The 18,378-nt window shown below is 37.4% G+C and overlaps 1 long non-coding RNA gene across 1 annotated transcript in view; it reads left to right on the forward strand.

Annotated features, from left to right (window-relative positions):
- The window catches only part of LINC02141 (long intergenic non-protein coding RNA 2141), a 198,621-nt gene that overhangs the window by 116,370 nt on the left and 63,873 nt on the right, over positions 1-18,378 (forward strand). The window lies entirely within an intron of this gene.

Raw genomic sequence — 18,378 nt, forward strand, 5'->3', positions numbered from 1 at the left:
AATGTAGAAGACAATCAGAAGTTACTTTTAAATGAGTGAATGTGTTAATGAAGGAATCCATCAATAAATTGACCAAAGTTTGAGTCACACTCAATGGACAATTAGGAAGAATAAAATTCTGTTAAATATAAATGAGATGAAAACGTATACCTGAATACCTGATTACTCCACCAACTCACAATAAACGATGGGAACCTTATTTTTAATATCATTTTATATATATTTGATATATATGTGTATGTATATATTAATGATAATGAGATGAGTCCTGGGGTGGGTAAGAACAAAAGGTTAACAAGGTGTCCTAAATATTTAGGACATTTTGTATTGTTATTTTGCAATCCCAGAACTGGAATAATAAATTAGGTATTCGGCAAATGAAATAAAATAAGGTGGCTCACGCCCGTAATCCCTGCCCTTTGGGAGGCCGAGGCGGGTGGATCACGAGGTCAGACGATCTAGACCATCCTGGCTAACTTGGTGAAACTGCGTCTCTACTAAAAAATGCAAAAAATTAGCCGGGCGTGGTGGCAGGCGCTTGTAGTCCCAGCTACTCGGGAGGCTGAGGCAGGAGAATGGCGTGAACCTGGGAAGTGGAGCTTGCAGTGAGCCGAGATCGTGCCACTGCACTCCAGCCTGGGCAACACAGCGAGACTCCATCTCAAAATAATAATAATAATAATAATAATAATAATAATAAAATAAGTTTCACAAACTCTTTTATAAAAGCCCGTTTTCATATATATATGAGAAACAGAGAAGGGGAGAGAGGGAGAGGGAGAAAGAATGTATTTCTCTTTCATAAGTAAGTTTAAAATAATAGTTCATCCAGAAAACTGAAAAGTAAAATGGCAGACACTGGTATATTTTATTGAGGCAAGCCAAGCACGGACTAATCACTAACATTTTTATTGGTGACTAAATCAGTATAATAGAAAAAAGGTATTTAAAAACAGACCTAATTTCATCTTATAAGAACTCACTGAGATAGGCAGGGAAATTATTGCTCTTATCATTGCATACATTTTTTTGAAAAAGGAAGCTAGGTAAATTTTCATTGAGGCAAAATGTATAAATTGTATATCTGGGGCTGGAACCTTGTTTTCTAGTGATGCAAATAATAACAATTATTTAGTTACTTCTATGTTCCATGCTCTAGGCTATGTGCCTTAAATATATTTTTAACTCTAAAAAATATATATTTACAAGAAGTTGCAAATGGTATAGGCAGTTCCCTTGTACTCTTCAGCTAATTTCGCTAAATGGTAACATTTTATAATACACAGTATAATACAATATCAAAATCAGGAATTTGACATCGTTACAATTCACAAAGCTTATTCTGGTTTTATTATACTCATCTGTATACAGGGGTGTGTATGTGTGTGTGTGTGTCTTTCCATGCATTTTTAACAGGCATAAATTTATGTAACCACCTCAATCAAAACACTGTTCCATCAACATAAAGATTCTTCAAGTACAAAACCACTAAGTTGCTCTCTGGTTTTATTTTGTAATTATAAGAATACTATATGGAATTATATACTATGTAATCTTTTGATATCAGCTCTTTCTTTATTCAGCATAACTCCCTCAAGATCCATCCATGTTGTTGTATGTGTTGATAGTTTATTTCTTTTCATTGCTAAGTAGTATTACCTGGTATGGATATACCATAGGTTGTTTAACCATTCACCAATTGAAGGATAGGATAGATGAGTTATTTGCAGTTTTTGGTTATCACAGAAAAACACTAATGCGCATGTTTTTGTGTTGACAGAGTATACATTTCTCTGAATAAATACCCCAAAGTGCAATTATTTTATCATATAGTACATATGTGTTTTTTTTTAATGCCAAACTGTTTTTCAGAGTGGCTGTATTATTTTAAATTTTCATTAGGAATGTGTGAGAGATCCATTTTTTCTACATCCTTTCTAGCATTTTGCTATTTTTTATTTCAGCTCTTCTGACAGACATGTAGTGGTATCTCACCATGGTTTTAATTTGCAACTTCCTGGTGGAAGTTGGATATGGAACATATTTTTCTGCACATATTTGATTTGGTATGCGTGTAACTTATTCAGTTAAATGTCCATTTGTAAATATAGTAGCTCCCCCTTATCTTCATGTGATATATTCCGAGACCCCCCCCAGGGGATGCCTGAAGCCACAGATAACACTGAACCCTACATATACTATGCTTTTCCCATACATACATGCCTATGAGAAAGTTTAATTTGGCATAGTAATGAGATTAACAACAACTAATAATACAATAGAACAATTATAACAATATACTGTAATAAAAGGTGTATGAATGTGGTCTCTTGCTTTCTAAATATCTTATTGTACTGTACTCACTGTTATTTTCTTGTGGTGCTGTGGAATGATATAACTGTGTGACTAATGGGCAGGGAGCGGCATCTACAGCATGAATACGCTGGACAGAGGCTGATTCAAATCCTGGGCAGGATTGGGCAGGATGGCATGAGATTTCATTACGTTACTCAGAACAGTGTGCAATTTAAAACTTAAGAACTCTTTATTTCTGGAATTTCCCATTTAATATTTTCACACCATGGTTGACTGGGAGTAACTGAAATTGAGGTAAGCAAAATTGTGGTTAAGGGGAAACTACTGTATCTACATTTAATAGTTATATTTAAATATATCTATAATTATGTGCTTGCCATATTATTAGCATTCGATGTCTGCTTTTCATGGGTATGGTAAGAAAATTACAGAGAAGTTAAGTATGTGCCCAAAGGCACACTGCTAAGAAGTGGCAAAGCCGAAGTTAAAAGTTCTGCTGTAATACCAAACTTGCGTTATTGCACTTTGCTGATTTTTCCACTAACTTAATTATTTTATTGTGCTGGCTACTTTGCAGAGATTCAAGGCCACAATTGTGAATAAAGCAAACATGTTACATCTTTACCATGCATTTATAAATATCACTTTTAAATACTTTAGAAGTTAAAAAATCTCTTTAAAAATGAAAGATGAGGCTCTGTGTGGTGGCTCACACCTGTAATCCCAGCACTTTGGGAGGCCGAGGCCGGCGGATCACGAGGTCAGGAGATGGAGACCATCCTGGCTAACATAGTGAAACCCCATCTCTACTAAAAATACAAAAAATTAGCCGGGCGTGGTGGCAGGCCCCTGTAGTCCCAGCTACTTGGGAGGCTGAGGCAGGAGAATGGCGTGAACCTGGGAGACGGAGCTTGCAGTGAGCCAAGATTGTGCCACTGCACTCCAGCCAGGGCGACAGAGCGAGACTCCACATCTCAAAAAAAAAAAAAAATTAAAAATTAAAATAAAAAAATGAAAGATGACAGACTATGTGGAATATGCATTTTATGAACACTTTAAACACTTCTTGTATTAATAAACCAAAATGGAGTTCACACTAAAGTTTATGATTCAAGATATAAACCTAAAGTAAAAATACCTACGTGAGAAAACAAATAAAATACATATTTTATGTTTTAATTAATTTTAAAAATTCCATTTAATACTTGACAAGGGAAGTCGGATGGGGTGGGAGGATGAGAGAGTTTGAGGTGGAAGAAGAAGCAACCAAGAGGTGTGTTTGCAATTTGCCTTCACTAATCACCTTGTACTTCCTCAGCACAGTGGAGGATTAGAATGTGGTAGGTGCACATATTGTTAATTACAGACAAGAAGACATTCTCCAGCTGAAATTAATTAATTACTTTCCTCTGGGTGGCAGAAGCCCAGAGTGGTGTTTGAGATGTAGGGTCATGATTCCTTGTATCAATTTTGTATTTGATTATATTAGTCCTGACAAGCTATTCGCTAAGGACATTATATGTTTCAGTCAATAGTGATATTATTCTTCAGCTATGTCAACACCAAATTACTGGAGATTAATCTTTGATATCCTTGGTGCTCTGTTTTCCTAAGATTTTTGTTCTTATTCATTAAATACAGATATTTATCATTTTTGTATGAATGTCTACTTAGAATTATTGTCTAGTGATTGGCATATCTCATTTGAAAATGATCAAATACTTTCCCATTATACATAATTTTTAAAAACAGAGGCTGGGCTTATTTTAAATCTGAAAGAATATAAAATTCACCACAGTTAAGCTCAACAAAGCCGCAAAGGAACATATTAACATGTTACCAGCTCATGTCTGGAATAATTCATCTACTCATCCATTTGGCTGGACATTTATTAACTAAAAACATAGTTAAATAGCATTCTAGAATGAGTATGCTGCAAAGAGGAAAGCATGAAATGGCTGTACAGGGAAGACAAAGGGTGCTACTGACAAACAGTATGTTTGATATTGCCATACGGGGGAAACATAAAAGTCAGTATCTTCTGTTCAGTAGGGGAGCTGTTTTTAGGTCACATACAACTTAGAAGTCATTCTTGCTCCAGTCAGAATCTACAGCAGCCACTTCAACATCAGAGGGTTCTCAGAACAGCGTGAACTCAACCACAAGTAGAAGGGTAAATTGCAGCAGGCATTTTCTACACTAGACATTGGGAAGTCAGCTCAGCATGGATATTTGTGGTAACCAGTTTGCAACAGGCTGAGTAAGAGAAATAAAAGTACAATTGAAAATCTTCGACTTAAACTCATAAACATTGAACAACTGAAGTTGAAGAGATTGAAATAGTCTCACAATACATGTATCATTGAATATTGCAGGTAAAACAAATGACATGAGACACAGAGTCAAATGGGAAACAGAAATAAATCAGAACAGTCCTGGAAACCATTGATTAAAGATTATTTGACCACTGTTCAAAGATGAGCCTTTGATAAAGCCCATTAACTCAGCCTCAACTCACTAAGGCTTTCTTTAGTAAGGAGATATTGAAAGTTAGTTAAAAACAGGGGGAGGAGCCAAGATGGCCGAATAGGAACAGCTCCGGTCTACAGCTCCCAGCGTGAGCGACGCAGAAGATGGGTGATTTCTGCATTTCCATCTGAGGTACTGGGTTCATCTCACTAGGGAGTGCCAGACAGTGGGCGCAGGTCAGTGGGTGTGCACACCGTGCGCGAGCCGAAGCAGGGAGAGGCATTGCCTCACTGGGGAGGTGCAAGGGGTCAGGGAGTTCCCTTTCCGAGTCAAAGAAAGGGGTGACGGACACACCTGGAAAATCGGGCCACTCCCACCCGAATACTGCGCTTTTCCGACCAGCTTAAAAAACGGCACACCATGGGATTATATCCCGCACCTGGCTCGGAGGGTCCTGTGCGCACGGAGTCTTGCTGATTGCTAGCACAGCAGTCTGAGATCAAACTGCAACGCAGCAGCGAGGCTGGGGGAGGGGCGCTCGCCATTGCCCAGGCTTGCTTAGGTAAACAAAGCAGCCTGGAAGCTCCAACTGGGTGGAGCCCACCACAGCTCAAGGAGGCCTGCCTGCCTCTGTAGGCTCCACCTCTGGGGGCAGGGCACAGACAAACAAAAAGACAGCAGTAACCTCTGCAGACTCAAATGTCCCTGTCTGACAGCTTTGAAGAGAGCAGTGATTCTCCCAGCACGCAGCTGGAGATCTGAGAACGGGCAGACTGCCTCCTCAAGTGGGTCCCTGACCCCTGACCCCCGAGCAGCCTAACTGGGAGGCACCCCCCAGCAGGGACACACTGACACCTCACACGGCAGGGTATTCCAACAGACCTGCAGCTGAGGGTCCTGTCTGTTAGAAGGAAAACTAACAAACAGAAAGGACATCCACACCAAAAACCCATCTGTACATCACCATCATCAAAGACCAAAAGTAGATAAAACCACAAAGATGGGGAAAAAGCAGAACAGAAAAACTGGAAACTCTAAAAAGCAGAGCGCCTCTCCTCCTCCAAAGGAACGCAGTTCCTCTCCAGCAACGGAAGAAAGCTGGATGGAGAATGACTTTGACGAGCTGAGAGAAGAAGGCTTCAGGCGATCAAATTACTCTGAGCTACGGGAGGACATTCAAACCAAAGGCAAAGAAGTTGAAAACTTTGAAAAAAATTTAGAGGAATGTATAACTAGAATAACCAATACAGAGAAGTGCTTGAAGGAGCTGATGGAGCTGAAAACCAAGGCTCGAGAACTACGTGAAGAATGCAGAAGCCTCAGGAGCTGATGTGATCAACTGGAAGAAAGGGTATCCGCAATGGAAGATAAAATGAAGCGAGAAGGGAAGTTTAGAGAAAAAAGAATAAAAAGAAATGAGCAAAGCCTCCAAGAAATATGGGACTATGTGAAAAGACCAAATCTACGTCTGATTGGTGTACCTGAAAGTGATGGGGAGAATGGAACCAAGTTGGAAAACACTCTGCAGGATATTATCCAGGAGAACTTCCCCAATCTAGCAAGGCAGGCCAACGTTCAGATTCAGGAAATACAGAGAACGCCACAAAGATACTCCTCGAGAAGAGCAACTCCAAGACACATAATTGTCAGTTTCACCAAAGTTGAAATGAAGGAAAAAATGTTAAGGGCAGCCAGAGAGAAAGGTCGGGTTACCCTCAAAGGGAAGCCCATCAGACTAACAGCGGATCTCTTGGCAGAAAACCTACAAGCCAGAAGAGAGTGGGGGCCAATATTCAACATTCTTAAAGAAAAGAATTTTCAACCCAGAATTTCATATCCAGCCAAACTAAGCTTCATAAGCGAAGGAGAAATAAAATCCTTTACACACAAGCAAATGCTGAGAGATTCTGTCACCACCAGGCCTGCCCTAAAAGAGCTCCTGAAGGAAGCGTTAAACATGGAAAGGAACAACCGGTACCAGCCGCTGCAAAATCATGCCAAAATGTAAAGACCATCAAGACTAGGAAGAAACTGCATCAACTAACGAGCAAAATAACCAGCTAACATCATAATGACAGGATCAAATTCACACATAACAATATTAACTTTAAATGTAAATGGACTAAATGCTCCAATTAAAAGACACAGACTGGCAAATTGGATAAAGAATCAAGACCCATCAGTGTGCTGTATTCAGGAAACCCATCTCACGTGCAGAGACACACATAGGCTCAAAATAAAAGGATGGAGGAAGATCTACCAAGCAAATGGAAAACAAAAAAAGGCAGGGGCTGCAATCCTAGTCTCTGATAAAACAGACTTTAAACCAACAAAGATCAAAAGAGACAAAGAAGGCCATTACATAATGGTAAAGGGATCAATTCAACAAGAAAAGCTAACTATCCTAAATATATATGCACCCAATACAGGAGCACCCAGATTCATAAAGCAAGTCCTGAGTGGCCTACAAAGAGACTTAGACTCCCACACATTAATAATGGGAGACTTTAACACCCCACTGTCAACATTAGACAGATCAACGAGACAGAAAGTCAACAAGGATACCCAGGAATTGAACTCAGCTCTGCACCAAGCAGACCTAATAGACATCTACAGAACTCTCCACCCCAAATCAACAGAATATACATTTTTTTCAGCACCACACCACACCTATTCCAAAATTGACCACAAACTTGGAAGTAAAGCTCTCCTCTGCAAATGTAAAAGAACAGAGATTGTAACAAACTATCTCTCAGACCACAGTGCAATCAAACTAGAACTCAGGATTAAGAATCGCACTCAAAACCGCTCAACTACATGGCAACTGAACAATCTGCTCCTGAATGACTACAGGGTACATAACGAAATGAAGGCAGAAATAAAGATGTTCTTTGAAACCAACGAGAACAAAGATACAACATACCAGAATCTCTGGGACACATTCAAAGCAGTGTGTAGAGGGAAATTTATAGCACTAAACACCCACAGGAGAAAGCAGGAAAGATCCAAAATTGACACCCTAACATCACAATTAAAAGAACTAGAAAAGCAAGAGCAAACACATTCAAAAGCTAGCAGAAGGCAAGAAATAACTAAAATCAGAGCAGAACTGAAGGAAATAGAGACACAAAAAACCCATCAAAACATTAATGAATCCAGGAGCTGGTTTTTTGAAAGGATCAACAAAATTGATAGACCGCTAGCAAGACTAATAAAGAAAAAAAGAGAGAAGAATCAAATAGACGCAATAAAAAATGATAAAGGGGATATCACCACCGATCCCACAGAAATACAAACTACCATCAGAGGATACTACAAACACCTCTACGCAAATAAACTAGAAAATCTAGAAGAAATGGATAAATTCCTCGACACATACACTCTCCCAAGACTAAACCAGGAAGAAGTTGAATCTCTGAACAGACCAATAACAGGAGCTGAAATTGTGGCAATAATCAATAGCATACGAATCAAAAGGAGTCCAGGACCAGACGGATTCACAGCCGAATTCTACCAGAGGTACAAGGAGGAGCTGGTACCATTCCTTCTGAAACTATTCCAATCAATAGAAAAAGAGGGAATCCTCCCTAACTCATTTTATGAGGCCAGCATCATTCTGATACCAAAGCCAGGAAGAGACACAACCAAAAAAGAGAATTTTAGACCAATATCCTTGATGAACATTGATGCAAAAATCCTCAATAAAATACTGGCAAAACGAATCCAGCAGCACATCAAAAAGCTTATCCACCATGACCAAGTGGGCTTCATCCCTGGGATGCAAGGCTGGTTCAATACACACAAATCAATAAATGTAATCCAACATATAAACAGAGCCAAAGACAAAAATCACATGATTATCTCAATAGATGCAGAAAAAGCCTTTGACAAAATTCAACAACCCTTCATTCTAAAAACTCTCAATAAATTAGGTATTGATGGGACGCATTTCAAAATAATAAGAGCTATCTATGACAAACCCACAGCCAATATCATACTGAATGGGCAAAAACTGGAAGCATTCCCTTTGAAAACTGGCACAAGACAGGGATGCCCTCTCTCACCACTCCTATTCAACATAGTGTTGGAAGTTCTGGCCAGGGCAATTAGGCAGGAGAAGGAAATAAAGGGTATTCAATTAGGAAAAGAGGAAGTCAAATTGTCCCTGTTTGCAGACGACATGATTGTATATCTAGAAAACCCCATTGTCTCAGCCCAAAATCTCCTTAAGCTGATAAGCAACTTCAGCAAAGTCTCAGGATACAAAATCAATGTACAAAAATCACAAGCATTCTTATACACCAACAACAGACAAACAGAGAGCCAAATCATGAGTGAAATCCCATTCACAATTGCTTCAAAGAGAATAAAATACCTAGGAATCCAACTTACAAGGGATGTGAAGGACCTCTTCAAGGAGAACTACAAACCACTGCTCAAGGAAATAAAAGAGGATACAAACAAATGGAAGAACATTCCATGCTCATGGGTAGGAAGAATGAATATCGTGAAAATGGCCATACTGCCCAAGGTAATTTATAGATTCAATGCCATCCCCATCAAGCTACCAATGCCTTTCTTCACAGAATTGGAAAAAACTACTTTAAAGTTCATTTGGAACCAAAAAAGAGCCCACATTGCCAAGTCAATCCTAAGCCAAAAGAACAAAGCTGGAGGCATCACACTACCTGACTTCAAACTATACTACAAGGCTGCAGTAACCAAAACAGCATGGTACTGGTACCAAAACAGAGATATAGATCAATGGAACAGAACAGAGCCCTCAGAAATAACGCCGCGTATCTACAACTATCTGATCTTTGACAAACCTGACAAAAACAAGAAATGGGGAAAGGATTCCCTATTTAATAAATGGTGCTGGGAAAACTGGCTAGCCATATGTAGAAAGCTGAAACTGGATCCCTTCCTTACACCTTATACAAAAATTAATTCAAGATGGATTAAAGACTTAAACGTTAGACCTAATACCATAAAAACCCTAGAAGAAAACCTAGGCATTACCATTCAGGACATAGGCATGGGCAAGGACTTCATGTCTAAAACACCAAAAGCAATGACAACAAAAGACAAAATTGACAAATGGGATCTAATTAAACTAAAGAGCTTCTGCACAGCAAAAGAAACTACCATCAGAGTGAACAGGCAACCTACAGAATAGGAGAAAATTTTTGCAACCTACTCATCTGACAAAGTGCTAATATCCAGAATCTACAATGAATTCCAACAAATTTAGAAGAAAAAAACAAACAACCCCATCAAGAAGTAGGTGAAGGACATGAACAGACACTTCTCAAAAGAAGACATTTATGCAGCCAAAAAACACATGAAAAAATGCTCATCATCACTGGCCATCAGAGAAATGCAAATCAAAACCACAATGACATACCATCTCACACCAGTTAGAATGGCAATCATTAAAAAGTCAGGAAACAACAGGTGCTGGAGAGGATGTGGAGAAATAGGAACACTTTTACACTGTTGGTGGGACTGTAAACTAGTTCAACCCTTGTGGAAGTCAGTGTGGCGATTCCTCAGGGATCTAGAACTAGAAATACCATTTGACCCAGCCATCCCATTACTGGGTATATACCCAAAGGACTATAAATCATGCTGCTATAAAGACACATGCACACGTATGTTTATTGTGGCATTATTCACAATAGCAAAGACTTGGAACCAACCCAAATGTCCAACAATGATAGACTGGATTAAGAAAATGTGGCACATATACACCATGGAATACTATGCAGCCATAAAAAATGATGAGTTCATGTCCTTTGTAGGGACATGGATGAAATTGGAAATCATCATTCTCAGTAAACTATCGCAAGAACAAAAAAACCAAACACCGCATATTCTCACTCATTGGTGGGAATTGAACAATGAGATCACATGGACACAGGAAGGGGAACATCACACTCTGGGGACTGTTGTGGGGTGGGGGGAGTGGGGAGGGATAGCATTGGGAGATATACCTAATGCTAGATGACGAGTTAGTGGGTGCAGTGCACCAGCATGGCACATGTATACATATGTAACTAACCTGTACAATGTGCACATGTACCCTAAAACTTAAAGTGTAATAAAAAAATAATAAAAAAATAAATAAAAAGAAAAAAAAAAGAAAGTTAAAAACAGAATTTTATTATATGATATGTAATATATAGAAACCTTATATATGTGCGTGTATATATATTACGTGTATAATGGCACTATATGAAATGTATACATATCTAATGTATATATATATGCATATATATACACACACACATATATATACACATACATACATATATCAGAAATATTTTGTCCATCCTAGTATTTCAAACTATAGAGACAATAACAGAATTAACTGAGGAGGTTTAATTACAGAAGTTAAGATTTTTATTACAGCCATGTGAATGAGGCAGACACCAAAAATTGATTTGGTATGGAAAAGCAAAAATTTTGCCTAAAGGCTCAGAAATGATGCTAACCGACCAAATGGTTAGGCCTAAACCATAATAGAATCTACCTTGATTGGTATTCCAAGATCCAGGCTCTGCTCTTCTCTCCAAATTTATCTTGGGAAAGGCTTGATTAGACCATTGATAGTTCATCAGATTTAGGGGAGGCTCATTTAAACTAACTGGATGCAAGGAACACTAATGTTTATAAACATAAATCCTTGTTAATTTTTCTTAATAAATATTTCTTGCCAGTAATAAAAAAGTATTTATGTACATTGTCCATGGAAAATACTTTCCATTATTAGAACACTTAGGAGGAATAATAAGATAGCTTTTTGCTATGTATGAAATCATAACTGACATAGTCTTGACTGTGGAAATCCAAAACAATTTGAATAATTTTAAATTTGTAAAATATTCAGCAACATTTACTGATAATCTTCATGTGAAAGGGAGACATCATTTGGCTTGGGGTTCTTTATCAACCTTTTTCCAAATACAGAGTACTTCTTCTCCTGAGAGTCACCTATAGCTAGGGCACAGCAAGATTTAAAGCTGTGTTTCTACGTCTTCTCCCTCAGTCACCTCATGTTATCACAGACAATGGAGCTATGAAAAGGTACTTGTTTTATTTCCCCACCCCAGCTTAATGAATCCAAAGGTCAGGAAAATAATCTCTAATGAAACAATTACCATGTATAGAGATAACTTCTAGCCTAGAATGTGAGAAAAGATGCTATGGAAGCATCAAGCTTTCCTTTATACAGTTACTAAATCTGAGACTCAATAATAATCAGAAGATTTTCAGAATAATATAGGAAAAGAATGAGCATTCAAGGAAAAAGATACATCAGGTACAAGGGTAGTGAAAAGTGAGGAATCTGAACTATCAAAAACTGTAAATAAATCTATGACAGAAGTATAGGAAACTGGAAGGAGTGAATTAAGAAATAGAAAAGAGCCAGATCATAAAGGGTCTTGTAGGTCAAGCGTTTTTAATTTATCTTGTATTTGATGCATGACGAGGTAACATTTTTGAATAGACTCAAAACTAGAGGATTGAGAGACTGCCTTCAAATTTTTATTGCTGGCTGTGACTATGATTTCAGCAATGAAAGATGAATTAAACTAAGCATTGGCTGTGGTTTGAAATTTATGGAAATTTGAGCGACATTTATAAATCAGTATCAGCAGAGCTATTGAACAATGAGTTGTACGGAATAAGAAACTAAAGTCATGTAGAATGAATCTCAGGTCACTCGCTTCATTAATAGTGGTACTGCCAGCTACAAATGGAGAAATAATGCAAAATGAGGCAGTGAATTTTAAACTTGGGTGATATTTCATATGTTAGCTGTACTATAATATTTTTCCAAAGACCTTGACAATGAGATTATGAATAAAACAAATTGCCATAAGAAGTACACTTTTAATGAAATACTTGTAATTTTTAAAAGTCAGGTACTGTGTTCATAGATTGGAAGACTTAATATTGTTAAGATATCAATACTACCAGAGTGATGAACTGGTTCAACATAATTCCCATCAAAATCTTATGGTGTATTTTGCAGAAATAGAAAAATCCATCCTGAACTGTATATGGAATATTTGGGTACCCCAAATAGCCAAAACAACCATGAAAAAACAAAGTTGGAGGTCTTACACTTCCTGATTTCTAAACATATTACAAAGCTACAATAATCAAAACAGTAATCAAAGCTGGCATACAGACAGACAGATAGACCAATGGAATAGAATAAAGATTCCAGAAATAAACTCTTAAGTATATGGTCAAATGATCTTCAACAAGAGTACTAAGAGCATTCAGTGAAGGAAAACAATCTCTTTAAAAAATTGTGCTGGGAAAACTGAAATATCTGAATTAAAAAAGATGAGGTTGAATCCTTATCTTACAGCATACACAAAAGTCGACTAAAAGTGGATTAAAGACTCAAATGTCAGCCTGGTCCCACATGGTGAAACCCTGTCTCTACTAAAAAATGCAAAAATTAGCCAGGCAAGGTGGTGGGCACCTGTAATCCCAGCTACTTGGGAGACTGAAGCAGGAAAATCACTTGAACCTGGGAGGTGGAGGTTGCAGAGAGCCAAGATCACACCACTGCACTGCAGCCTCGGTGATAGAGCGAGACGACTCTGACCCCCCAAAAAAAAAATTAAATAAAAAGACTCAAATGTAAGACATAAAACTGCTAGAAAAAAAACAGGGAAAAAAACTTCATGACATTGGAACTGGTGATGATTTCTTGAATATGACACCCAAAGCTCAGGCAACAACAAAAATTAGACAAATCGGACTATATCAAATTTAAAAAGCTTTTGTATGTTGATATGGTTAGGCTTTGTGTCCCTACCCAGATCTCATCTTGAATTGTAATCCCTGTAAGCCTCGCAATCCCCACCTGTCAAGGGAGAGACCAAATGGAGGTAACTGAATTATGGGGGACGGGTTCCCCCATGGTGTTGAGTGAGTTCTCACAAGATCTAATGGTTTTATAAGGTGCTCTTCCCCCTTTGCTCAGCACTTCTCCTTCCTGCCATCTTGTGAAGAAGGTGCCTTGCTTCTCCTTCACCATCCACCATGATTATAAGTTTCCTGAGGCTTCCCAAGCCATAAGGAAACTGAATCTAACCTCTTTTCTTTATCAATTATTTAGTCTTAGGCAGTTCTTTGTAGTAGTGTGAGAACGGACTAATACCTATATCAACAGATAAAATCATCGGAGTGAATACATAATCTATGGAACAGGAGAAAATATTTGGAAATCATATATCTAGGGAGCAACTAATATTCAGAATACAAAAAGAACTTTTATGACTCAACCAAAAGAAACCCCAAATAACCCAATTAAAAAGGGGGCAAAGGACTTCAGTAGACATATCTCACATGAAGATATACAAATGACCTGCAAGCACATGAAAAGATGATCACCATCACTAATCATCATGAAAATGCAAATCAAAACCACAATTAGATATAACCATACACCATTAGAATGGCTACCATAAAAAGTAATGCAAAATAACAAGTGTTGAGGAGGACGTAAAGAAATCATACCCTTTGTGGCACTGTTGGCATGACTGTGCAATGGTGTAACCATGATGGAAAACAGTAAGTTAATTCCAAAAAAAATTCAAAATAGAACTATCATATGATCCAGTAATCCCACTTCTTGGTGTATATGCAAAAGAACATAAAGTGGGATCTCAAAGAGTTATTTGCCCACCCATGTTCATAGCAGCATTGGTCACAATATCTAAGAGGTGGAAGTAACCCATATGTCTATTGACAGACGAATGGATAAACAAAATGAAATGTTATTCAGCTTTAAAAAGGAAGGAAATCCTGTCACATACTACAACATGGATGAACCTTAAGGACATTGTGCTATGTGAAATAAGCCAGTCACAAAAAGACAATACTATATAATTCCACTTATATGAGCTATCTAAGGTAGCCAAATTCATAGAAACAGAAAATCAGATGGTGGTTATCGGGGGCTAGAGAGGAGGTGGGAGGTGATTGTCTAATGGGTACAGAATTTCAATTTTACAACATGAAAAAGTTCTGGCAACAATGTAAATGTACATAACCCTACTGAACAGTATACTTAAAAATGGTTGAGATGGTAAATTTTATGTCACGTTTTTTACCAAAATTTTTTAAAAGTCAGGGAAGAATCCTAAGTCCAAAAGAGCTATCAAAAGGTTGTTTTGCTCCAAATATGTTATGCAGATAGATTGTGTGTGTGTGTGTGTGTGTGTGTGTGTGTGTGTGTGCATGTGTGTGTGTTCACTCATTAAAAAGGAACTGAGAAAATATACTATTTGCCTAAACTCATCTCTTTGAAATAAAAAATATCAGTATATAAATTTGTTTCCATTGCTCAGATTTCATTGTCCTCTCTAAGGTAAACTTTGACTAATCACTAAATGTGGCACTCTCTAATGCATATGATATATTAAAATATTAAAAGTTTGACCCAGGCTTACAGAGAAATGGGGCTACATGCTTTAGCTGTATGTCTCAGGGAAGGTAAGTGGTCTTTTTTCTGTGCTTTATGAACACTGAGCAGGGTCAGAGATCCTTTAAGAATTTCTTTACCAACTAATAGAGAGCTTTAGTGAAAACATAATCAGGAATATTCCAATTTATTTCTATTTGATTTCATTTTACCATGTCAGTATTTCTTCAGAGCTATATGTCAAAGTGTCCCTTAAGTTATAGGAATAGGCTTCAAATGTTAGACATCGAAAATAATATTATGTTAAAATAAATATATTACTTCAAGGAGATTTGGTTTAAATTCTTTTAACCAGAGAACAAAAAGATGTGTCCTGGTGTTTCAAGAGCCCAGACTTAGTAATCAGACAATCTTGTTTAAGTTTCATCCTGGCCATTTACTATAGGTGCTCGTTAAACTTCTTAAGTCTCTATATTTAAAAATCTATAAATTTAGAATGATAATTCATACCCAGTTGAGTAATTAAAAGGATTACCTTTGTCTAATAAGGGACCTGACACATATAATATTTAATAAGTGGTAATAATAATTCATTGTTATTATTACAGTAATTTAGAAAACTAAATATAAACAGTAATTATAGTATTATATAAATTTTAGTAGTACAAAACTATAAAGTAAAAGTGCAGGTATAATAAATGGTATTTATATATTGTAAATATAATATTTATAAATAATAATGATACAGTATTTTAATATTTATTAGTCATTATTATTTAAAGGCTATAAAATGATAATAATGTAATAGTTTTGATGTTAAGTCAAAGCTATTCTACCCAAGTTATGCCGTAGTACAGAAGTAAATTACTATAACCTTTTGTATTACATGCATTGTCAGCATACCTGGGAGAATTACTACATCCAAAAGGACCACTCTTACGTCTCTGCAATTTTATAACTCTTTATGAGATTGTAGCAATCTGTCCACAGTACAATTCTGAACTTGGTGGTGATGGTGGTAAAAGCTGTTAGTAAAATCTTTCCCTATTTTTCTTTATGCGTAGTCAAGACACAGCATTTCTTGGCCAATAAAGCCAGCAGGACAATATCACGCTTGTGTTTATAGCATAGTAAGAGTCTCTTGTATTTGCATAATGCTCTAATGCTTTATAAAGCTCTTACCCATACAGTAAATTACTTGAGCTTCACAATAACCCTGTATAACCACCTCCACTTTACGGCTGAGGAAATAAAATTCACCAGAAGTGAAAATCTTGTCCAAGGTGAGACATCAGTGAAATGTTTGATTTGAGGTTTGATCCCTTTACTTGCAGTGTTTTTTTCTTTCTCATTATACCATTCCTCCTAAGTATCAGAATATCACTTGTGTATGTTGAGAGAAAATTTAGACAGTCGCTGAGGTTAGAGAATAAATTAAGTAAACCTGAAAAATGTTCGCGAATCTTGGTTTTCCAAACTTAAAATGATATTGCTCATGCTCACCCTAAAATCAATACAGTACAACGCTTTCTTTCAAACCTAAGTCGGTTCTATTTAATCATATCTATTTCCTGGTTTGCTCAGTCTATATGCCTGTACAAGTGATCATCCAACCAGCTAACCCTCGTCACCCCCTATAATCTCTTGTTCATAACACTCATCTCAAGTGAGCTACTTATTTAACATTTGTCTCACCCATGAGATTTTTGTGACAGTAGAAACTCCAACCATCACACATCTCTGTATTTACCCTCTTTGCAATGTGAATTGTTGATACCTAACATTGTGTCAATTCTGACCCTAGGCTGTAAAAACGCTTTCATGTTTCCTCTTGTCTCTGCCAGCACTCTGAGATGAACATGTTTAGACAAGCCCAGTAGTCACAGATGAAAGATAAATGACAAGTAGAGAAGAGCCTAAATCAGGTAACATCTAGATATGTGAGACACAATGTCAGCAAAAATGGTGAATGGAGGACCTCCAAAACTTCTCTGCTCTTTTCCACAAAAGCAGCAGGAATACTGCAAGAAATTATCATTATCAACATGTTCAGTGCCCTATAAATTAAAGGTTGCAACATTCTGGAAAGCATGTGTTCCAGAAAAATGGCTAAATCTTGATGGGAACAGCAATCCTTATGACATTTAGCTCACCTTATTTTTATGACCCCCCCAGTTCCTGCTTCATGGTAACCTTGGAAACTAACTGCCCATAATCACAGGAAAACCAGTAACTTGAAAGCCACTGGAGAGGGAAGAATGGGATGCAGCTCTTTCAAGGTCCCATTCCCAGGGAATTATCATTATTTGTCTTGTCTGATGGTTCCTTAGATGACCCTATTCATAATGCTGTCTTTCCTTGAGATTTCTCAGGACAAACAGCATTCTCCCCTGGGAGCATTTGTTTCAAACCATCAGAGGCAACTGTTTAATTTAATGGCTGACTAAGGTGGCTTATGTCAGCTGGGAGAAGCAATTGAATGAGATGTTCATAGGGAGCTTTGCAAAGCCCTGACAGATTCCTGAAAATCTAGAAGACTGTGTGCATGTGCAAGAATGTGCATTCTCAGGAAACACCTGAGAAGGCTATAACTTCTCACCTATGGTTCATCTTGAGACTCAGCATGAGCAAGAAATGAAAATTAAGGTGAATTTGTAAACTACCCAGTTGAATGTTGAAGGCAGGCCTCAAAATGCACACCAAACCTCTTAGCAAAGATTTGAAACTTATTGGTTTCAAGCATTTGAGGAAATCCCTGCCTATTAGTTGACCACAAATTGAACTGACAACAACTGCATTAGACACACACACACACACACACACACACACACACACACACACAAGTTATGACTTATGACTTCAGGCAAGTCATAACACAACAAGCAACAACAACAAGAGCAAATTCTGAGTAAGTGTCAAAATCTGATTTTTATATTTGTTAAATTATATTGTTTAAAATATCCAATTTTCAACAGAAAATTGCAAGACATGAAAAAATTAAGAAAGTAAAACTCATGCACAGGCAAAGAAGCAGTTAACAGAAATAGTCCCTCAGGAAGCCCAGATGTTGGACTTAAATCTTTCTGATTTTAAGTCAGCTATTTTAAATACATTCAGAGCATTAAAGGAAGTCATACCTA

Source organism: Homo sapiens, chromosome 16 (assembly GCF_000001405.40).
Source record: "Homo sapiens chromosome 16, GRCh38.p14 Primary Assembly".
Classification (NCBI taxonomy): Eukaryota; Metazoa; Chordata; class Mammalia; order Primates; family Hominidae; genus Homo; species Homo sapiens.